This window comes from Homo sapiens, chromosome 4 (genome assembly GCF_000001405.40).
Source record: "Homo sapiens chromosome 4, GRCh38.p14 Primary Assembly".
Lineage (NCBI taxonomy): Eukaryota > Metazoa > Chordata > Mammalia > Primates > Hominidae > Homo > Homo sapiens.
The window spans coordinates 138,257,084-138,282,012 of NC_000004.12; the positions used below are offsets into that span (position 1 = coordinate 138,257,084).

The window sequence follows — 24,929 nt, forward strand, 5'->3', positions numbered from 1 at the left end:
CCCACAAATTCAATTACAAGTTATATGGCATTATACCTAGATATTAACATAGCTCCTCATCTGTTTCCTTCCACTTTCCCAGGCTAATATAGTCTCATCAAAGAAAACACTGGTAGAAAAAACACATTCCTCTCAAACACATATGGAAGAGTTACCACAGTTGCCTACATCCTATGACATTTAAGAAATCTCAAAATATTTCAGATAAGACCTATTATACAATTCACGTACTTTGACTGCAACACAATTAAGTTAGAAGTTAGAAACAGGAAAATTAAAATCGGCATTAAAACTCATTGGTCTAAAAGAAAAATAAATGGTAAGAAATGTTACAATTCTTAGAGGTGAATAATAATAATAATAGTATATCTAAATGTGTGAGGAATATACCTTAGGCCACATTGAGAGGGGGATTTACAGCCTTAACTGCTCAAATTAGAAAAGAAGAAAGACCAAAAATTAAAGAGTAACTGTCCAACATAAAAAATTAAAAGCAAGCAATAGGGCCAAAGAAAGTTAAGTAAAGGAGATAATTAAGATAACAAAATAGATGAAGATAAAGTAGAAAAATTCCACAAATTCTAGCTATTTTAAGAGTAGGAAAATAAAAGCAAACTTCTGGTAATATTGATGAATAAAAAGATAGAGACAGAAAATGCAAATATAATATTATGAATGACAAAGGAGACAGTACTAATGATACAACTGAAATTATAAAGAGAACAAGCAAATACTATCAATAACTTTGTTCAAATTAGATTGAAAACCTAGGTGAAATGAACATATTTTTGTTAAAAGTTAACCTAAGAAAACTAACTTGTCAGAATATAGAACACCTGAATGGCACTATCATTAGTAAAGAAATTGAAGTATTGCTAAAATCTCACACAGAATTAATACAAGATCTGGGTGGGTTTACAGGCGATCTTACAAAACCTTTCAAAGATCAGTATAGTAGAAATTTGTATACCCCAAACCCACCAATTCTACTCACAGCAATTTAACTAAGAGAAAACTTTATCCATGTTCACCAAGAGATGTTGACAAGAACAATCAAAAAGCAAAAAATTATAAACAACCCTAATTGCCTTTAACTGGAGAATGCTAAATGAATTGTGTTTTATTCACACAATGCAGCATGAAAAAGACGAAACTACAACTGCCTGAAAAAACGTGAGAAAATCTTAACATAATAAAACCCCCAAAGCAATTCAATATGATACTCTCTTTATAAAGTTTAGCAACAAGCAAATGCAAACCACACACACACACACACACACACACACACACACACACACACACAAATTCCTAAAAGGCAAACTAAACTTTACGGCTAAGGGATGCAAAGGGAGAGGGGTTTAAGAGGTCATGGGTATCCACGGCATTATTTATAAACAAACAGATAAGCAAAAATATGGCCGTGCCTGGACTAATAATGTTGTGTCATAAACCTAGGAATATAATGAACGTCATTCCTCATGCCAGAGGTCTTACAGAAAAGAAAAAGAAGTAATTTTATCTTCTGGTCTCATAGTAACAAATCTTAACCAGCTACTTTACACAGGGAAATAAAAGTTAAGGTTTCACCTCTCTCCAGTTGGCAAATATTTAGGATGATTAACATCCACATGTGGGTGAGGATATGGGGAAAGGAAACCTAAATATTGACCTTCAAATGTAAATTTATACAATGACTTTAGGTAGCAATTTAGAAATATCTAGAAAAGTTAAAGTCGCACTTGCCCTATGAGTTAGGAATTACACTTCCATATATCTACGTTAAATAAATTTCTTTACAAGTGCTCAATGGAGACAAGTACAAGGATCCTTCATTGCAGTGTTGTTTATCACAGCAAAAATGCAGAAACATCACAGAGAAATGAACAAACTGTGGTGTATTCCTACTGGTAAAGTGTATTAACAACTTAAAACCATCAAGTTAAGTGAGAAAAGCAAATTGCAGTCGGATACACAGGATATGATACTATTTAAGTAAAGTTTAAAAGTACACAATACAATTTTGCATATTGTTTATGAATTCATTCAATACTTAGTAAAAGAACATTAGGTTATTACCAATTCCTGAATAGCGAGTAGTTTGCCTATCAGGCAAGAGAAGGGAGGGTTCCAGGGATAAAGCTTTGCTGGGATCCTCAATGTATTATTTCTTTAAAGTAAAAATAAGCTGTGAACTCCAGGAACATGGCAAAATAGCATCTGTTAAACCTAAATCGTGCATCGTGTGTTTGTTACTTTCTTTTTTTCTGTAGGTTTTAATTATTTCATCAGTAAAAATGAATTGAATTAAATTCTATTGAATTATGCAACAAAATAGTCTGCCATCTCAAACTACCTTAAATGCCAGAGAACATCATCCGTTCCACAGCACAACAGAATCATTGGAATCCTTGGAATGGTTTGATGTGTCCAGTCTTGCCTGTAATTATTTCACTCAACTAAGCCTAAATTCCAACACGAAAAAGGAAAGAGATTTTGGGAGGAGTACTTAGCCTTCTGTAATATAAATTTTTATCAATTATCAGAGAATGCTGAAAGTGCTGTTTTGTAACAGATTGTTGAGGTTATATTAAACCTAGACAAACTAAAATCATTCATACATAAGCAATTTCAAAACACCTTAAATAAGGTCATTAAAATCTTTAATTTTTTGTAGTATGTTTCTTTTATAGAAATGTGTAAACTCCAGAGAAAATATATAGAAGCAATGTAAGAAAATTATAAATACATGTATAAATTTAGGTCATATGAACATCTGAAATACCATAATTATGGTGCTGTTTCCATTTCAGAAATTCAACCTATCAAAAAAATGTGGTCCTTGATTTCAATCATGATACTGAGTCATCAAAATGTAACCACAAGCAAGTCTCCACGTGGATTTCCACTCCTTGTTCTTTTAAGAAGCAGGAAATCATAATCTCTGAAAAGGACACACCCATCACCATTAATGACAGCCTATCTACAGTGTAATTTACGTCAACATTCACTTGAATAATTTGTTAGAGACCTTGTACTTCACACTTTGCAGTGGGGAAAGTGATTATTAAAGGAATTTGCCACAGGAAATAGTTACAAATAAGAGAAAAACATTACTGAAGTTGGGGGGGGTGGGCAAGAATCTTAGTCCATAACATAAACAAAATCCATATATTTTAATCTCTTAAATAAAACAAGTAATAAGCAATTAGTTCCAATCTAGTTAAATTCAATTATGAGTTACATGAAAATCTCAATATGAAATTCAGGGCCAGAATTCACTAAAAAGATGTCTATTAAAATGACTAACTCACCATGAGTTGTCACAAAGAACTCTAAACACATTTTAAAGTTTTAAAAAGTGTAAAATAATTTTGCTAAAATTAGATTGTTTTTAAAATCTGTTTATGTTAATAAATATTTGAATTAATTTTACTAAGTAAATTCTCCTTATACTTGAACATCCTTAGGAGGTATATAAATGATATACAAAGTCATATATACCTGATTGACAATTAGCCCTTAGGTGAGAATGTTCACTTTGGACAAGCTGGGTCAGTTCATTGACCTCCTCAGTTTAAGTGTCTCCCCTCTGCATCTGTCATTTTATTCCTGCTTTAGGTAAACATTTAATGACTATTTACCATGTTCCAGGCATTATACTAGGTGGGGATATATAGAGGTTAATAATAATACTAATAAGAGTGTGTAAGTGCCTATCACTGTATAAGCAATTTACAGTCCCCACCATCATAAAATTTACAATGAAGTAGAGAAGACACAACTAATAAATTGATTTCAATTGTAATAAGAGCCAACAAGAAGACCAATAGGAGTCTAAATAACAGGGAAATGGTCTGAAAGGCAGGGTTGGTATCCTTGAGAAAGGACAAGAACACTACCAGTTTCCACCAATTGCTTACTATTTTGCCCCAGTTGCCCCATACAGCTTTTCTCTGAAAACCAATGCTGTATTTCTAAAAACTTTATTAAACCCTTTCCTCATTCTTACCCACTTTTCTCCCATGTCTGATGAGCTCTTCACTAAGAAACCTACACTTGCCCCCCATATGTAGGTAAATATACGTCATCCCACTGAAGATTCAGACACTCATATGAGCATTAATTCACAATTAATTTCCTGCATGATGTTAGTAAAACCAAAGAGAATGCAGGTGTTGCTGATTAAAAGCTGCCTTTCTCCAAAATTGTTACATACCATTTCTACTGCAATCTGTTCTCTTTCATTGCCAGGAAGACAATGAGAGCAGGAGGGCAGAAAAGAAGGGAGGAATAAAAGAAGGTGTATTAGTCTGTTTTCACACTGCTATATAGAACTACCTGAGACTGGGTAATTGATGCAGAAAAGAGGCTTCATTGACTTACAGTTCTGCAATCTTAACAGGAAGCATGATGGGGAGACCTCAGGAAACTTATAACCATGGCAGAAGGCAAAGGGGAAGCAAGGACCTTCTTCACATGGTAGCAGAAGAGACAGAGTGCAAAGGGGGAATGTGCCACACACTTTTAAACCATCAAGTCTCATGAGAACTCACTCACTCTCGTGAGAACAGCACAGGGAAAATCCATCCCCATGATCCAATCACCTCTCACCAAGACCCTCCTCCAATTCAACGTGAGATTTGGATGGGGACATAAATCCAAACCATATTAGAAGGGAAAAAGAAAATAAAGAAAAGAAGAGAGGATAAGAAGGAAGGGAGGAGGAGAGAGGGGCAGCAGCAGAAAATTCATGCTCTCCACATGAAAAGAACTTCGGCACATCTTTTTCCTGTCTTCCTTTTTCCTTCTTCTTCCTCTTCTCTTCTTTACCTCCCTCCTCCTGTTTCTTCTTATCTCCTTTGTCTAACAATACACATAAATGCACAATTTAAAACTGATATCATGGGATATACTCAGAGCTCTTTTCTAAATGCAGTTCATATTGTAATGCAAAAATCAGCTCCTGGATGCAATAAGCACTCCACAGTATTGGAGACGTTTTAAATAAAGCTGACAAATCTCACTTCTCATATTTGCTACAGATTTAGAGTGAGAAGTGATGGCACTTAAATTTCTGCCAGCCACCACTGGCACTGAAATGTTACTTTTGCTGAAGTTTATATCACTACCCTGCCCTTGCTTCTTGCTTATGCCTTTGATTTTCCTCACCTCTTCACCCACTGTACACCGCCCCCAATCATTTCACACCCCCAAATAGCAACCACTCGGAGTTGTATATTTATCTATGACTAGCAGACTAGTGTGAAGTTTTGGTGCAAAGCAAATTGGAGAAGGGCCGTTTCCATATTATAGTGACATAGGGAACAACTTGGAATTAAGAATTAGTTATCTGATTTTAAAGCCTCTTAGCCATTTCTGACGTTGGAGACTTCACCCTTCTTTAATATAGAATGTCAACCATTGCCTAAGTTTCTAGATCTGTCGTTCCCCACCTACTTTCATCTTCTTTCTTGTTCTCAGGCTGCCTAGAGAAGCTCAAAATGCTTCTCACATGACCATTCATAGAAATATGTTTCCCTTTGCCTCACTTCCTACCCAGCCTATTCCTATGCTGAGAGACATTCATTGTTCAACCAAACGGATGGTCTACCATGGTGCTGGTCTCAAGAAACATATTCATTTCACCTAAGAGGAATTCCTTCTCAGTTCTTAAATTAACAGGTTATTTTTTTCTTCTTTCTTACAATTTGAAAGCAGAGTCGTAAAAGAAAAGTAAACATTAAAAAAAGAGCAAGCAAACAGAACAAAGTCTACAAGGAATAATATTGAAAGGTAAAATATGCTAGAATAAATGGTTTAAAAGTCCTGACTAGTGACTTCCAGTAACAGTGCTTCGTTGAAACCGTCATAATGGAATTCTCTCCAGCAAATAGCACAGTGCAACTTTTATTCAGTTTGTATGTGCATGTATGTGTGTGTATCCATCAGTTTCCGAAATTGTAGTAAAAATCTAAATATATGGTGTAATGCAACGTGAGGATGAAGGAAAAAGAATGTTAAGACTTTGGCTAAGTGGTAAAATCCATTAGCAGAAACCTCAAAACTGCAAGCATAATTATGACCCCTGAAAGTCAAATCAATTGTGCATGTCTGTGCGGGGAGTCAGGGTGAGGAGGAGTGGGGCTGAGTTGAAAGAAATGGGAAAAATGAATGTGATTGGTGAAGATGAGAACCTCTAAAGCAGCCACTCAAATGACAAAATACATCAATATGGTGCATTTGTTCTGTCTTTTTCTAAAACTTTGAACTGATCATTCTGCCAAATAAATGAACAAACTGAAACTTAGCCGTCTGTCCTATGCAGCCCTACAATGATTGAATGTACAACAGCTTGTGAAAGAACCAAAAAGGAAAGCCAGGCTGGAGCTAGCCAACAACATATATCATGTGGTAGGAAAGTGTCAATGAATATGGAACTAACATTTTTTTTCGAAAAAGAAATGAAAAGAAAAAAAGATGACAGTTGTTCATGAGAAGGCTGAGAGGGAGAGGGCAGATGATAAGTAAAGCTGACTCAGAGAGCACATGGGTACAGTTTTGAAGTACAGCAGGTAGTTATGCAATGCTTGGTGATTACACCCTCAAATACAGCACGACAGGCAATAATTTAATTTTTCAAACCTCCATGTTAAAAGCAAGTTTTGAATTTGGCAGTGAGGCCTTTTCCTTCCACTAGTGTCAAGTGAGAGTGCAGCCATTTCATTTGAATGCCCAGCTGCAACATTCAGTGCATTTATCATAGCTAGATATTTGACCAAATTTTTGTGACTTCTATTTCTTGACAAGAATAGTAGTAAATTGGACCAGTTTTTGCTTTGAAGTCTTCATATTCAACAATGGAATAAGGGTTCATCTTGTACCTATTAGTATCACATATCTTTTCCTAGGAAACTGAGACAACACTGGTTTCCATTTTTAAAAGAGTTATAAATGTAAGGGGTACAAGTACAGTTTTGTTACATGGATATATTATACAGTGTTGAAGTCTGGGCTTTTAGTGTTGACTGTCACCTGAATAGTGTACATTGCATCCTTAGAGTACCTTCTTACCCTCACCCCCTCTCCCTTCCCTGCCCTTCCAAGCTCCAATGTCTGTTATTTCACACTGCATGTCCATGTGTACACATTATTTAGCCCCCACTTATATGTAAGAACATGCAGTATTTGACTTTCTGTTTCCGATTTGTTTCACCTAAGGTAATGTCCTCCAGTTAAGAAAAGGAAAGAAGGAAGGTGTATTAGCCCGATCTCACACTGCTATAAAGAACTGCCTGAGAGGGGGTAATTTATAAAGAAAAGAGATTTAATTGACTTACAGTTCCACATGACTGGGAAGGCCTCAGGAGACTTACAATCATGGCAGAAGGTACCTCTTCACAGGGTGGCAGGAGAAGAAGAAGCAAACAAGAGAGGAACTGCCAAACACTCATAAAACCATCAGAACAGCACGGGGGAAACTGCCCCATGATCTGATCTCCCCCCACCAGGTCTCTCCCTCAACACCTAGGGATTAAAATTCAAGATGAGATTTGGGTGAGGACACAAAGCCTGACCAGATCAGAAGGTAAGGAGGCAGAGAAGGAAGGAAGAGAGAAAATAAGATATATAGGTAGGGAGGGAGCAACAGAAAGGAGCCACTAAAAAAATAGATGTGCATGGCTGAGTGTTTTATGGTCATTTTAATCGAGAGTATGCTGTGTTCTGAAGTATATATCCTCCTAAAATTCATATGTTGAAAGACTAATCACTATGTGACAGTATTAAAAGGTGGGGCCTCAGAGAGGTGAATAAATCATGAGGGCTCAATGGGATTCGTGTTCTTATAAAAGAGGCCCCAGGAAGCTGCCTTGCCTTTTCCACCATGTGAGGACACAGCAAGAAGGTGCCACCTATGAATGAGGAAATGCGCTCTCACCAGACACCAAAAATGCCTGCACCTTGATCTTGGACTTCTCAGCCTCCAGAACTGTGAAAAATAAATGTCTGCTGTTTATAAGCTACTCAGTCTATGATATTTTGTTATAGCAGCCCAAATGGACTAAGATAGAGTGCCATGAGAAAAACATCCAATTACAATAACTCATGTTTCTATGACACATTTTCAAATATGAGAAAGAAATTGGAGCCAACTATTTTACGGATTTGACAGAACCAAAACATTTTTCCTGTTTTAAAAGATAACGTACAGGCAATCTGTGTCATACAAAGTCTTCCAAAGAGAAAATTTTCAGTGGCACACTTAAAATGGAAAATTAGGAAAAATTTGTTGTTAATATCCTTTGATCATCCTTCCCTCCTCCCTTTTTAGCTGAATATTTTTGTTATATCTTGCTCTATTCCACTTCCCTAATTGTACCCAATTTTCACTAAAGTGCCCCATGACACAAAATAATTCCTTCTTCACTGATAACTTATTTTTCTTTACTTATAACAAAAAAGAAAAAGCAATTTTTGTTGGAGAACTTCATGCAAAATGTGAATGGTTGCTATAAGCCTTAACCTCAAAGAGATTATTTTCTAATTAAAATCAATTAGAGATATATGTAGGAAGGTTTTTTGTTTGTTTTGGTTTGTTAATTGTTTGTTTTAGCATGGAAGCTTTCAAAGTATACCTTGCTTACTCTGAGAGAGTAGCCTTTTATTCCGTGTGTTTTTAGACTAATTACATAACTATTCAGTAGCCTTTCTAATAAGTTGGGGACCTTTGGTAAAAACTGACAACTTATCCTTTTGTTTGTAGCCTTGTGGCATCTTCTTGACTCCTCCCCCTATTTCTAGATTCACTGTCATTGGAGGGTTTATTTCTCTCAAGTGCTACATCAGGTTGATGATGAGAGCAGGTAGTGAATGATCAGCCTCATTCAGTGAGCAGCTATGATTAGAAAGCCTTCTCACCGTTTCCCCAGTGGTCAGGTCCTCAGATACCCCTGCTCACCCACATGCCCAGCCTGTTACTACTGTTCCAAGCCCACCACATGCTAGCCTAGTCCATGTTAGTAAGTTTCTGTCTCAATTTCTCAACACATTCTCTCTTCTGGGACTAGAGCCCTACCATGACTGCATCTCTTTTGTGAGACCTGGACCCTTCATCACCCTCAGAAGCCAGGGTCCCGTAAACATTCTCCTTTACCACCTCAAGTCACTCGCACACACTCACTCAGCCCAGGTCTTCTTATCTGTTACATGGAGGTAACACATCTTCCTAAGGCTCTGAGAAATACATAACGTAAAGAATATAAATTACTCAGCCCAGTGCCTAACTGGAAAAGTTGAGTAAAATAGCTTTGACTATTTTTGCAAAAAGAGACAACAGAAGCATAGATCTCCTAGGCCGGGCGCAGTGGCTCACGCCTGTAATCCCAGCACTTTGGGAGGCCGAGGCGGGTGGATCACGAGGTCAGGAGATCGAAACCATCCTGGCTAACACGGTGAAACTACTAAAAATACAAAATACAAAATAGCCGGGCATAGTGACGGGCGCTTGTAGTCCCAGCTACTCGGCAGGCTGAGGCAGGAGAGTGGCGTGAACCCAGGAGGCGGAGCTTGCAGTGGGCCGAGATCGCGCCACTGCACTCCAGCCTGGGAGAAAGAGCGAGACTCTGCCTCAAAAAAAAAAAAAAAAAAAAAAAGAAGAAGAAGAAGAAGGATAGATCTTCTATTTCTCTCCCTCTCTGATGTTCTGCCTCTCTCTTAAAAGGATGCTTATGATTACATTGAGCCTACCCAGATAATCCAGGATAATCTCTCCATCTCAATATTCTTAATTTGACCACATCTGTAAAGTTGTTTTTGCAATACAAGGTAACATGCTCACAGGTTTGAGGGATTAGGATATGGACATCTTTAGGGTGGTATTATTGAGTCTATAATAAACTAAGATGAGCCTCTCTATATGAAATGCGAAGTGAGATGTGTCTTCTACTTACTTAAAGCTGTGGTTTTTTACTATGTGCATATGTCCACTAACATTTTAAACTAGTTTTTTAGGGCTCTTGAAGAATGTTTAGTTTTGAAAACAATCACTGCGCTTTGAACTTTAACCATATCAGTGAAACCCGAGCGAAAGACATTTCAAAGAGGGTTTAGATTTAAAGCAAATATCTATTCACTCTAATCTGCTTTAAAATCTGTTGTTTTCCTGGAGAGACTTAATCAGGATTCCAAACCATGAATCAAAATGAAATAAGGAATATAGTGCACATTTAAAAAGCATATTTACCATTCATCTATACCGACTAAACACTGTCAAAATATACAGAGCCTACATTTATGAATCAGTGTTTTAAATACTCTACCATAGCTGATAATTCATTTGCTAATTTAAATAATATTTGATATGATTTACAGAAAACTGGTGACCTTCAGTCCCTGCTACAAAATACAGTATGTGGATCTGTGGAGATATTTTCATTCACTCATGGTCATTAATACAAAAGGCAATGTATTTGATTAAACACTATAATTAAACTGCATAGTGGAAAGAACTGAATTAAAAAAAATTTATATACACACATAGGTATAAAATAGTTAGATCTCATTTAATGTCCTGTAGGGGAAGACATATTAGAGTCTGAACTCTAGAACCAGATCTTCTCAATGCAACTCACTAGCTCTGTGATCTTAGAAAAGTTCCTTAACTCTGTAAACTCTTTTTCCTACCCATAAGATAAGGATAATATATGTACTATATGTCATATTATTAGAGGAATTTAATGAGATTATATAATATTAAATCTATACAAGATAGATCTATATTTGGTATATAGTAAAAGTTTGAATAAATATGTTACTATTCTTACCATTTATTTTACCATTTCACATGTTAAGATTTTAAACAAACTATCTTCCTAATCTCCTTTACAGATCACTGAGAACTTGCAACACAGAAGCCAGAGTGAATGTTGCTCTAGAGTAAGTCTTATCAGGTCTCTCCTCTGGCTTACCAACTCAGCCTAAGGGAAAGCAAAAGTCCTTATAATGGCCTGCAAGCTCCCTCAGTTCTTTGATAGTTGCTGCTCCCCCCCAACTCCTCAGTCCACTCCCCATAGTGCCTTTTGTGCTGTTCTTGAGGGAATGCCATCTTTCTTCCTGCCTAAATGCATTTACCCTTGCTCTTCTTTCTGTTTGGAACATTTTAGTCCCACAAATCTGCTGGCTTCCTACCTCTTCCAAATCATGAACACTGACGCCTTCCCTGCCCATCCAGGATAAAATAGCCCTTTGCTCCTCACAACATTCTCAATTACTTTCTGGTTGATTTTTCTCCAGAGCACTTATTCCTTTTCTATCATATGTTATAAATTACCTGTTTTTCTTTTCTATTGCCTGTGTTTCCCATGCATTTATAAACTCTAAGAAATCAGAAAATTTTGTCTCTTTTCTTCATTACTGCATCTCCTTTGCCTAGAACAATGCCAAGGAGATATAAGATATTTTGGTGCCTTTGTTGAAATTGATGCTTTCATTTTCTTTCAAATGAGGGAGAGCCAGACCAGAGCCCCTCATTCACTGTAAACCCCTAATACCATCCTTTGAACAGCATGCTCCCCTCTACTGTTCTCCATTGTCAGGACCAGGTTGTTGATGGGGCTTCCTGTCTAATAATTTTTACACATTCCTGGCTCATTTACTTTACCCCTCACATTTCATGTGGCAAGAGCAAGTATGACTGGAATATATGATATAATGGGAACAGCTTCAAACTCCTTATTGCCATTTGATAAAATGTCCACCCTCTTTATAATAGTCGTCTTCCACTGTTGATGTTTTACTTTGCTAATCACACATGATTCCACTTAATGTTCATGGTAATCCTGTGAAGTACATACTATAATCCCTATTTTACAAATGAGGGAACAGAGTCTCAAGGAGTTTAAGGAAATCTGAAGATGGTGAGTAAGTCCCATGAGAAGTGACTTGGACTTAAAGATGTCTCTCTCCAAAGTCTATGTTCTCAGCATTCTGTTATACTGCCTCTTCAACTGTGGAAAATCTGACACCATTTTTAAAGTCTTGAAACCTAAAACTGCATTATTTTCTGGCATCCCCAGAGAAAAATTAGTAGTTGAAATATATATCAATGTATTTCTACTCCATACAAATTCCAATAAAGATAAATGGTTTCTTTTTATGTTTCTTAAATATGTGTGAATTCCAGATGTAGCTTTGCAACAAAACATCCTCTGTGTTGTTGTAAAAGGCAGTCATCACTTCTGCTGATAAAGGATGGTATAAGAATAATCAGGATATTCACATGAGATTTAAGTCAGACCAGAGAAGAATCTGATTTATAAAGCTGACTAAGTAATAAAGCAGACAGCCATGCTCAAAAGAAATAAACATTGAAAACAAAAGGAGAATGGAGGGAAAAAATGAGTCAATACAAATTATCTGTAGTAAGAAATAAATTAAAAATAAAAATGGAGAAAACATCCTGAGTATGAAAAAAAAAGTCTTCTGGATGAGTAATATCAGATCGCATATGTGCTCTCAGAGTTAGGGTTGAATTGCTGTCAACAGATTCTAGAGGGGCTCGTTTTCCTGACATCTCAATGTGCATATTGCATCTTCCTAAACAACAAATGCTCACACAGAAAGGACATTACCTGGAGCTCAGCCAAGGAGGTTTACCAGTTTACAGGAACACAGTCTATATTTTATTCCTGCATTTTTATTGCAATCATTATTTTAGTCTCACAAATATTTTTCAAAATTTATTCCCACCTTTTTTGTTTTTTAGCCTATCTGAAAAGCATCAGAGCTCAACTCTCCAGTTTTGCAATATGCTCTTCAGTTTAGCATATTATCTTTAACAATTATGTCTAAAAATTGCAACCTAATTGTAACAGACAAAATACCACCATGTTGAGGTGAATGTATTGCATAAATAATTCCTAATGATATTCAAGAATATTTTGTAGTTGAGGACTTATGTCATTCTATTCTTTTAAAAAAATACATTGAAAATATATCCCTAATGTTTGCCCAACCGTAGGTTCTTAAGAATCGTGATCATGTGCCTAGTTGACATATGACTTCATCACGTACTTCATATTGCTTTGGTGATTAAAAATGATTTTAAATGACTAAATTAAAATATACAAATAAAATACTTGAAAACTAGGAAAAGCTAGTAACTTTTAAGGTTACATTATATTTAAATCAAAACCCACAAAATCTAATAAAAAATACAGTTCTGTTTCCTCATTACCTAGGGTGAATAATCAGGAGGCATCAGTCTTTTGCTCTTTTCTTTAGTTGCAATTGATACAGGCACCAGTTTTGCATGTTATAGGTGTCAATATACCAATCTTATTTAACTCTAATTGCTCTATGTCACAGATCAGGGAGGGAGACATGAAGGCAAGTTTCAGCTTTGGCTAAAGTCATTAACTTCTAGTCTCTTAGAAGCAGTGCCTGCTCCAACATGTTGAAGAAACTTGGGCCCAACTATTTCTACAAAGCTCTGTTAAGAAGGCTGAAATTTTGGGTAACCCTTGGCACGTGAGAAAAACATTCAAAACTGCTGTAGACAAGGGGTGGAAATTTAACTAAATTCAACCGGAATCTGAAATTTTGCTGCACTCAATTGATTTTGTTATATTACATTTATTTTAAACAGAAACAGGAAGCCAAAACCAAACATGTGTTCATTAAAAACCCATTTTCAAGGCATGTTTATGTGCAGTGAAAATAGGCACCTCCTGAAAGACAATGAACAAATAAAAATAGTTGATCTACAAATGTGAAGCATCAGAACACTTACAAGATGATTTATTCTGATCTCCAGATACTAAAATGAAGCTTGAATTCACAAATAGCTTCAGCTGTAATGGTTCATTTACTCTCTTGACATTGGTGATATCACTACCAATAATGGTATAACTAGATTTGATTAAACTTATGTTTATTTTCATTTGAAGAGCATTTCATTATGATCATCCTAATTGCTAACTTTTGAAGTTCACTTAAGTTCTTGGCATTTATTTGTCCATTTAATCCTCATAACAAAAGCATTAAAACTTACTCCAATGGGTTACCCTGATGTCTAATGAATTTATATATGTAAAGTGCTTTGTTCCTGGCACAAAATATGAATTTAGTAAGTGCTAAACATTTGGCAAGTAGAATTATTTTCCACATTTTACAATTAGAGAGAACTTTTAAATATAGAGCTGAGCTTCCAGGGTCATGCTCTTGCCCACAGTTCTCTGTTTCATACAGTGTGGACTGTATACAGTTAGAAGTCATGTGCATACACGTCTTTAATGTCTAATTCTCTTCCTATACAGTTCTACATCATCAGTCTCATTTCTCACTACTCTCTCTAGCAATATGCTTTCCTTGCTTCAGAGTGACCTTTAAATCCCAGTGCTACTTCTTACTTCTGGACCAATTTCCAGGAAAGCATATTGTATCTTATGTCTAAATGTTTCACGTATACCTATTTTCTGAGCTTTTTCAGGTTGACTCCATCTCTTTTCAACTTCTATCTTATCTGTATATACCCTGACCTCTTAATATTCTTCATTTCTTTTCTTTGTATAGAGAAGTATGCTTAGGAATACATCTGTTATTCTCTCTTTTGGATTCTGAATTCTTAGGAAGTAGCAACTTTACCTGAAGTCTCTGTTGTTGTTCCATACAAAGTTCCAATGTATTATAAATTGTAACCTTCTAAGGACATCTACGTGAAGAAGACCGCATCTTTGCCAACATGTCCCAAAGAATGATAATAGATCATCAATGATCAAACAAAACTATAAGAAAAATTTGATTATGAAATTCAAATTTTTAACATACTAAATATTGCACTATTGTGATGTAAATTCCAAAGATTCAAACTACTGCTTTTCCTCCATTTAACAGGTCTGAAGTTCAAAAGCAAAACCTTCTATCCATTAATAAATTGTATGCTGTATGTCTAAGAACTGGAGTATACAATTACACAAAGAACCCACAATGTTCAAATAATAAATCACCTTGGTATTTAGAAAGTATTGTGCCATGAATCAAAACCGTTATTAGAATCATAAGATATTTTACTTATGTTACATCAAAGTGACTATGAAATATTACACAGGTTTTTCAGTATGAAGTTATGTAAAATTTTTCTGATATGAGATTTACACATGATACATATTAATATGACAGTCTTGTATTCTAAAAGCATTCTTACACTTGGGAGTGAGTCTGGTAAATTAAGAATGGTCCTGCATGTCTATACTGTACCAGGTATTAATGGGACAATAAACAAATGATTTATCTTATTTAGGTCTCAATTTTCTCATCTGCAAAATGGATGGATTCACACAATCCTGACTTGTTTCTAAATTCTACCAAAAATTTCTAAATATTTCATACAATTTTTAATGATTAGAAATTATTAATAATAATAATTCATTTAGTCATCATATTCTATATTAAATATCTATGGCATTCATAGTTCACTATTGAAAATCCATACTATAGTGCTACACTGCTGATGGAATTATATTATAAGCTGTGCTACTCTGAGCAGTTTTATAATTTATTCTACTTAGAATGTTTCTGTAATGAATATTGTCTTGATCATTATAGGAAAATAATTTCTCTATTAAGAAAGCTTTCAGAGAAAAACTGATAAAATATAAATATTGCACATAAATTTTCAATTGGGTGCTTTTAAAAAAATTAATTCATTAAAGTAATTATAAAAATTAAATATATTTTCAGAGAGGGAGAGGTAAGGATGGTGGTATTTTAGGGTAGTTTGTTATATTATTCGGATGTAAATATTCTTGCCAGCTTCTCCCGCTCTCCTTTGCTTCTGAACCTCTGTTTTTCTACTCTCAACTTATAAATGCAAAGAGAACTAGGGGACATATCAAAAAGCAAACACAAACATATCATCTTAGTAAATCACACCCATTTTCCAAGCATGAACATTGGCACAGTTTTTCTGAAGAGTATATTTCTTTACAGTGATCTCTGTCCACATCGGCTCTGATTATCAATAGTTGTAGAAAACATATTCAGACAGGAGAGACATTCAACACTGAAGACCAGGATGCCAGAGGCAAATAATGACTTATTAGAAATAATTCATTTTAGATAACACTAGGGATTTTTCAAGTAGATGCTCCTGGGTTCTCATGCCTGACAGCTGTGTGAGGTACAGAAATGGTAGCTACTTTCTGCAGTGGCTGTCAAAAGTAACAGCTTCTAAACTTTTTTTTTTTTCAAATGGCTTTTTGTAATGGAAAGGAAAATATCAGAGAGAATGGAAATCAGATTATTTTATGCTCCTCCCTTCCAACAACTTTAAAGTAGATTCAGAGGCTGCCTTGCTAAGAAATTTGCTAGCAACATACAAATAAATCCATTTTCAAAGTAAAATGAACAAAGATGGCATGACTATAAACACATCAGCTACCTTTCTGGATTTGTCCTTATTTATCTCATCACTCAGTTCTTTGCTTCACAAAAGCTTGATTATTCCTGTTAAGATATATTAAGGAAAACATCATTTGAAAGGAAAAGGCAGAGCAAAGATCCAAGTAGTAGAGTATAAGAAGAAAATCTCCATTTGGCTTTACTGTTTTTTTCTTATGATATTGACCTTTATTATTTACTTACAGACTTTTAAAGCTAGAAAGGAAATGACACAATTATCTAGCTCACCTCCCTATTTTAAAGTAAACAAATTTTTGTTTCATTAATGAAATGCAAAAATAATTTCTGTACTATAATACAATATTTCCTAATATGAACATACTTTGATTCTATCTCTAGTATGCTGTTTATTCCAAAGAACATCCCTTTCAGCAGAGTAACTCTTAAAATTGCACAGCAATTGAAGACTTTATTTTCAAATATATTTGCAAGTAACTGTGTCCAATTTTGAAGCCCTAGACTTAGGAACATATGTGTAATTTTTTTTAAGTTACCTGGTAACCTTAGGATAGGTTGCACCTCATCAAACTGGTTATATTATGTGCAGTTCAATGTCAGGCCTGCTGAATCAATTAGAAAAGACATAAACTGAAATATGAGCTATGTCTTGCTAGAATGAAAAATCAGATGTTATGTCTGTTTTTTAGTTTGATATGTGCCCTTGATCTTCAGCTGTCAGACCAACTTTGGATGTTATGTTTTTTATGGTTTACAAAGTATTCACAGGTGTGAGACCCCAATTTTTTTCAAAAAAGGGATTATTTCTTCACAATTCAAATAATCATATATAAAATACCTTGTCTATAAACTACATCTTACTGTTACCACTGAGATATGACATCATGAGTAAAATAGAAATCTAGTCTTACGGTTCTATGTTTTTAAAATGTACCTAAACACACACATATATATTTACTTATTATATACTTATATATATCCACCAACACTTGAATGTGTATCAATTATAAGTCACAGAACTAAAAATCATACAGTATGTGTAATTTTTTATTTGTATTCAAAATCTGTAAACTGAACACAAAGTTTGACAACTTATGGGGTTACAAACCACAAACAGGCATAAAAACATGACCAGAAATTATGGTTTTTTCTCTTTTTATTCTGAAATTAATTCTGTGAAATTTATTCACAATATCAAGGTAAAGTTTGGAGAGATAAGGAATCAGGAACTACTAACATCTGTGACCATTATCTCTACAATATGGGAAAAAAATCTTTAATAGAAATCTATGAAAAAATAACATTGTCAATATTATAACAATTAGGAAGGAAAGAATAGGGAGAAGAAAGAATAGGGAGAAGAAAGATTAGCCAAGCTAATTATGTGTTTAAGTAGATTTTTATCTTGTACTTTATTCCACTATATTTATTTAAGGGTGCCCAGGAATATGTTTTAATTAATTTGTAATATTGTTTCTCAATAAAAAAATCTTCAAACTTTTCACTAAAACATATTATTCACTAAAATCTGCATTGCTCCAAAGAAAATTTTTAGAAAATTGCATTCTATTCAGTGGGCATAATTAGACCCATAAGGCTTCCAAGAACTTTTTAGAAAGTCCCCTTAAATCTTTGCAAATTTTTAAAATAAGAATTCCTGCCATGCACAGATTATTAGGTCAATATTTATATTAAAATAGAGAGAAACAGAATTGTAAAACATGAAATAATTATGTTTGGCTATAATAGTTAACATTCTCCAAAGTGTTTTAATATATTCAAACTTATTTAGTTGAAACAACTCTATATCATAGGTACTTAGTTATTATTACATGGCCCAAGCTTCATCTGTATATCAATTTATCTCCCTGATGATTTCATCCTACCATTGTACCCTTCCCATGGCAACAACAACAATAACCAAAAAACCATCTGAGCTCAACCTGGTAGGCAGGTCATAAGGAATCCATCTCATATGCATCTGTATTTCAAATCCCAGTTGAAGTATTAACAATCTAACATTAAACCCTATTTTAAATATCTGAACACCAGTATGTCCGGTTACAGGGAAAGCCCATTCACTGTTGGTAGAGAGATGATATTGTCTTGGTCTTTGTTTGTGTTTGTTAAAATGCCTCAAAAAATAGGAATATTTTATATGCATTTTATATATATAGCATACCTCTGTATGTATCTGTACATGTGATAACTATTTAAATTACAAGTTCAAAAGTGCAAAATAAGCAGCACCAGAAATCAATGTGATGAAGAATATCTTATTTCTGGACTCAGAAAAATGTCTTTGTGACTTTGGTATACTACCCATCATTTGACAGAGTGAAGAAATACAGATTTTATCTGAGGCCTTCAGGTGCTGGCTTCATTTAAAATTACAAGCACCATCAGCTCATTCAAGTGTTTTGATAATAAAATTGTCAGTAGTCCAAAAGTGATTTCAAGATTTAATTATTCATCACGTGATTAAAAATAAAATTAATATTAACATGCAAATGTGTAGTTTTCTTAACAATATTGGCCAATATTATTTTAAAGAACATCTCTGAATGTTTTCACGTAAGAAAAGAGACTGTCCCAGAAATCCTGGACCCAGTTATCCTGAAGTTTCCTCTGATTCATCAAGTATTTAAGTTTCCAGGCCAACAGAAGCCTGAGGCTCAAATATTTGTAGCAAATCGGTGACTCAGGGCAACACAGCAGAACCCTGAGAAACAATGAAGAAGGAATTGTTTATAATCTTGTGCTCAGTTACACAAAAGATACACATTTATTTTCACCACCACCCACCAAAGACCCCAGAGGATCCAGAGGCTATAATAATAGAATATGTTACCAAAGGAAATACAAGATGACCCATTAAATTTGAATTTCAGATACTCAAACAAAAAAATTTAAAGTATGCTACAGGCACTATTTGGAGTATACTTATACTAAAAAAAATGTTGTTTATCTGAAATTCAAATTTAAATGGGCAATTTTTATTTTTGTTTTTGTTTTGTTATTTTGATAAATCTAGGAACATCTTTACCTCCACATACAATTCAAGGCTGATCAGTGAGGGAAGGATAAGAGTTTTAGACAAGAGGCTAGGCATGGTGGCTCATGCCTGTAGTCCCAGCACTTTGGGAGGCTGAGGTGGGAAAATTGCTTAAGACCAGGAGTTTCAGACAAGCATGGGGAATATAGCAAGACACCATCTCTACAAAAAAACAAATTAGCTGGTTATGATGGCAAATGCCTGTAGTTCCAGCTACTTGGGAGGCTGAAGCAGGAAGACTGCTTGAGCCCAGGAGGTTGAGGCTGCAGTGAGCCATGATTGCACCACTGTACTGCAGCCTAGGTGACAGAGCAAGACTCCATCTTAAAAAAAAAAAAAAAAAAAAAAAAAGGAGTTTTAGATAAAAAATGAAACTGAAATTCTAAACTAATCTAGGCCAGACTGGACTTTTTTCAATACAAAAGTGACAGGAAAGTTTTAAGTCTCCCATAAATCTCATTAAAGGGTGACAAGGAGAAAAAAAGTAAAAGAGTTTCATGTTTTTATGCCCCTCCAATTTCAGATTTTCTCAATAAGACAATTAAATATCCAGAGCTTGATAATTGAGTTCAACTCTGCATTGTTATTAATCCTATCTTAGTCCGTACAGAGTCATCATTACCATCCCTAGAAATAGATGCAATGAGCATTTCAGAATAATAGTTGTGACATTCTTTGAGGACAAATGCAAAAGTTTTGATGTGGATTCTCAGACATCAGTGCAGGTTTGGGAAATACCGACAGCTGAGATGGTGCTGAAAATGAGAACTCTCCAGCCTCTCCTTTAAAGCCTCTGTGACAGACATAAAAGTGCTTGGCTGGATGTTTAAAGTGGGAATCTCATGAATGCATTCTTGATAAAGCTTGCTGAAGATGGTGATTCCTCTGCAGTTTCCAGGGAGCTCTTGTGAGAGAGGGATGTCTAGAAAGTGACATTTAAACACAAACTCAGAAACTGATTTTTCTTTAAAAAATTGAGCCTCTACCTATAGAAATAAGGAGAAAAAAATGTATAAAAGTGGCCGAAGTCTTACATTCTGACATCCCTCCCTAAAGTGTTTGGGCATGCCATAAAAGAAGCAGGCTCATCTAATAGAATGGGCAGAACAATGTATGCTATCCAGCTACTTGGGGAAACTCAGAAGGCACAAAAATACAGGGAATTCTGGACCTGTCCCAGGGAGACACTTTTCAGCCTTGATTAGAATAGGTCATTGAGATGCTTAGAAGACTGATAGCTGATATGAAAAAGAAAGCACCTTTTCCTCTCTGTCCTAGGGACTGCAATGTGCCAAAAATGCCTCTACATGAAAAGATATAAGAAATATCATGAGAGAGCTGTAGGAATAAAATGTTTAAAGATATATCAGAAGGAAAGGAAAATAAATTCTCCACATATATGTCATGGTTATAAACTTTGCTCTAAAACGATGTCCAAAAAGCGATTAAAGATAGCAGAAATGGTAACCAGGTTCAACTGACAAAAGTTGTTGTTGAGGCCATAGTTAACATCTTTGAAGGCAGGCACAAGCTGCAGGAATAACAAAGGAAGCCTACTGTTATAAACTAAATGTCTGTGCTATGGTTTGAATATATCTTCCAAAAGTGTGTTGGAAACTTAATCCCCAATGCAACAATGAGGTGAGGCCTACTGAGAGGTAATTAGGCCATAACGGTGGTGTCCTCATGAATGAATTAATGTTGTTATTGCAAGAGTGGATATGTTATAAAAAGGGGATTTTGGTCCCCTTCTCTCTCTCTCTCATTCTCTCTCATCCTTTCTTACCTTCTCACCATCTACCATGACATGATGCAGCAAGAAGGCCTTTTCAAGATTCTAGCCTCTTGATCTGGGACTTCTCAACCTTTGGAACTGTGAGCCAATACATTTCTGTTCATTATAAATGTATTCTGTTCTAGCAGCACAAAATGGACTAATACAGTTTGTGTCTCCCCAAAATTCATATGTTGAAGTCTTAATGTCCAATGTAATGGCATTAAAAGCTGAGGCCTTTGGGAGGTAATCAGAATTAGATGAGGTCATGAGGATGGAGCACTGTGATATTAGTGTCCTCATAAGAAGAGAAAGAGACACCAAAGTTTCCTGTTTTAATTGCATGAGGACATAGTAAGAAGGCAGCCATCTGCAAGCCAGGAAGAGGGCCCTATACAAGGACCAAATCTGCCAGCACCTTGATCTTGGACTTTCTAGCCTACAGAACTATGAGAAAAAAATGTCTGTTGTTTAAGCCACCCTGTCTGTAGTATTTTGTTAGGGAAGCACAAGCTGATTAAGACATCTACCATTCTCCTAAAGCTAATGAAGTTGATTTTGGAAAAGAAGGATAGAGAGGTCAAAGTCACTGAAGAGAGAAAGAGAGAAAAGACCAAACTATGTACAATCACGAAGATCCCTGCCAGGGCTTTAAGGGAACAGATGATGACTTCTTGGAACATTGTTCATGTGATGACTTCAGAGGCTTGGGAGTAAATCAGACAGACTGACCCTGTTTCCTTGAATGAGTGCTTAAGTATTCGATACCAACTTGGTAGGTCTTCTGCTCATGAACTGATAGGATTCTACCAGAAAGTTAAAAATATACAGAAAGCCCAACTTGTGGCAGGCAAAGAGATAAACTCAGCTGCATAAGATGCTTAAAGAAGCCCCCTCTGAGAATGCAGCATTTAAGATGAGAAGGAGCCAGCCTTGAACAGCGGAAGGCAGAAGAGAAGAGCAGTCCAGACTGACGGGACAGTGCATGCGATCATTTCAAGGTGAAAAAAATCATGGCATGTCTGAAGTACCGAACAGAAGTCAGTTTAACTAGAGTATAGTGAGAGAGCAAGTCACTCAAAAGAATTTAAAGAGGTAAGTTGTAAGTTGAACAGGAAAATAAATGAGTGAATAAATAAATGATTACTCTGAAGAATGATTGCATTCCACTTATTAGACAGAGTTGTGAAGGAGGGATTCTCTAGGTACACAGTGAGTCATGGCAATTTTATAGAGGAAAGAAAGCAAAATGAATTTCTAAGACCTACAGAAAGAATAGCATTTGAAATCTTGGGGGAAAACAACATGTATGTCAGTGGACATGGAGCTCTGTGGTCCAAAGGCCCAGGAAGTAACAAATGGTAAGAAAGACACACTTTTCTTGATGTGCCAAGAAAACTGATGGAGCAGAGATTCCTCTCCCATGACCCCACATTTGAAAAGTACCAGTGCAAAGAAAAGCTCCAGTGCAAAAGCTTGTTGCTTTCCATGAAATTGCAAGATCATCCCTCAAAACAGGTGTTAAGTGGTATCCTGTGTACTTATAATTTTCTTAGTTAGCAAAGAATAGCTTGTAAAACTCATTTTTGAGAAAATGGTGGTTACTCTCATTGATAATTATTAAATATGATATAGTTAATAGTGAGAAGAACTATCTAGATAACTATAACTGTCAATTTCTTGATGCTAAGTAGAATTTAGCCTTCAAGAATGGAGGTTTTTAAATTATTAAAGTTTGGAGCTAGAAAGTAACTTGAAGCAAACGTCATTCTCTCTCTATTTTGCAAATTAGGAAAGTGAAACAAAGATGCATTAATTTAAGAATAGCAATAATGCATTTAATATCGACTAGTTTCGTGTACACTTCCCATTGTTCTTCTTTTGTCCCCAAAGTTAGCATAAACAAGATTTCTAAGAACTCTGGAGAGTGTAAGTGGTATATAAGCACAATATTTTCATTACTAAATTAAATAAATAGAATGGAATGAAGGTTTTTATCTATTTATTTCTGGCAAGAGAGAAATTTGGGGGACTTGACATTTCCTTCTTTGCACGTACACAGTCGTTTTTAGAAATGATGACCTCTAAATCATGCTTGTGTTGTTGCCTAAGGAGCCATGCCTTAGCTAACTCAATAATCTTGCTGCAAAAGTAACCAGTGATCAGATGAGAAGATAAACAATACACTGGTCTCAGAGACATGAGTCTGAGATAGGTTACTAGTCTAGGACCCAAGTAAATTAGCAGGCAAGGATAATATCATCTGCAATTTAACATGTGAAAAATTCAAGTTAGTGTAAATTGTATTATATTCTATGCATAGAAGATAAATCTCACAAGTAAACCCTCGCTATTAGAAATAAGTAAGATTTACAAGTAAATTGACAAGAAGTTCCTCAGGATCATCACTTATTAGTTTGGCTATACGGAAGACATAGAAACCACCCAGTTGCCAAGTACACTGACTTGAATCAAGTGGCTTAGAGAGTAATTTACAAATTTGAATGGCATTATATGAGATATGAATATGCCACAATTCCAAAAACTAATACACGTTCCCATCCCATTCAATTGGATATTATCATTGAATGATCATTTTCTCCGTTCAATAACCACGATCTGTTTACTAATTAAATAATAATTATAGAAAGAAGTCAATATAACAATACATTACAAAATTATCTACTAATTTTTGATGTATAATAATAATACATTACAGACTGTAATAATAATATTTAACGCTTTATCATGTTGGATAAATGCAGGAATCATTGTAAGTGCTTTTAATTAATTATTTGATTTATCACCCAAGCAAACCTTGAAGTAAAAACATTTATTATCGCCATTTCACAAATGAAGAAAGTGAAGTCTAAATAAGTTAAATTACATGCTTGAGGTCACAAAAACTAGTGAGTTGCAGGTGTAAGATTTGAATCCAGAAAATATGATCCAGAGCCCAACTTCTTAATTGTTATTCTACAGTACCTCAAAGTATACAGATAAATGGAAAAACAGCCTTTTCCAAAACATTGTCAACGTTTACTTTAATAGTTTTTAATATCAATCTATTAGTGTTTCCTTGTTATTAAACATCTGTGTGTTATAAATTTATAATATAAAATTCTGCCTCATTTATAGACATTACTGTTACAAAAATACAGATTCTGATTTCAGTAAAAGCATATCAGGTAACTTGTATTAACTCTTAAGAAGAGCCAGAAAATTTGGGGCTAAACAATTTTTCTTTTAATCTGTTGAAGATCTCAAAGAGCTAGCAAAGCAGTCATGAATTTTAGGGCAAAGATCTAGAGGAGAAGGAGAAAACCTAGAGTGGCTAAGACAGTTATACGTTTGACCAACATTATATGAGAGATTTTGGATTCACAGCAATCGCATCATTCTGAAGCACTTACATCATTCTATCCTGTGCAGTTGAATAGAATGTGAGGGGTGAGCCTGGCATTTAGATCCTCTTTTCTCCCAGTGGAATCCACCTAAAAATGAAATAAATGTATTTAAATGATCTAAGATTGCTAGAATTTTTATCTGCCTACTAGATGCCAAGGCAAATCTTCTCTGAATAAAGATAATTGTATCTTAAGCCTCAAACTATTTCTACTAATCTTAAAAGCTAATATACAACACTCAATTACAGAGAAATAAACACATGAAGTGATAAATTCACTT

The 24,929-nt window shown here is 35.1% G+C and overlaps 1 long non-coding RNA gene across 1 annotated transcript in view; it reads right to left on the reverse strand.

The window, feature by feature from the left end:
* Nucleotides 1-20,031: 20,031 nt before the first annotated feature.
* LINC00498 (long intergenic non-protein coding RNA 498) overlaps nt 20,032-24,929 on the reverse strand; it is a 35,573-nt gene continuing 30,675 nt past the window's right edge. The window contains exons 6-7 of the long non-coding RNA NR_198994.1: nt 24,656-24,736; nt 20,032-20,390 (exon numbers count right to left, since the gene is read on the reverse strand). This is a non-coding gene — a long non-coding RNA (long intergenic non-protein coding RNA 498). The remainder of the gene's footprint in view (nt 20,391-24,655; nt 24,737-24,929) is intronic.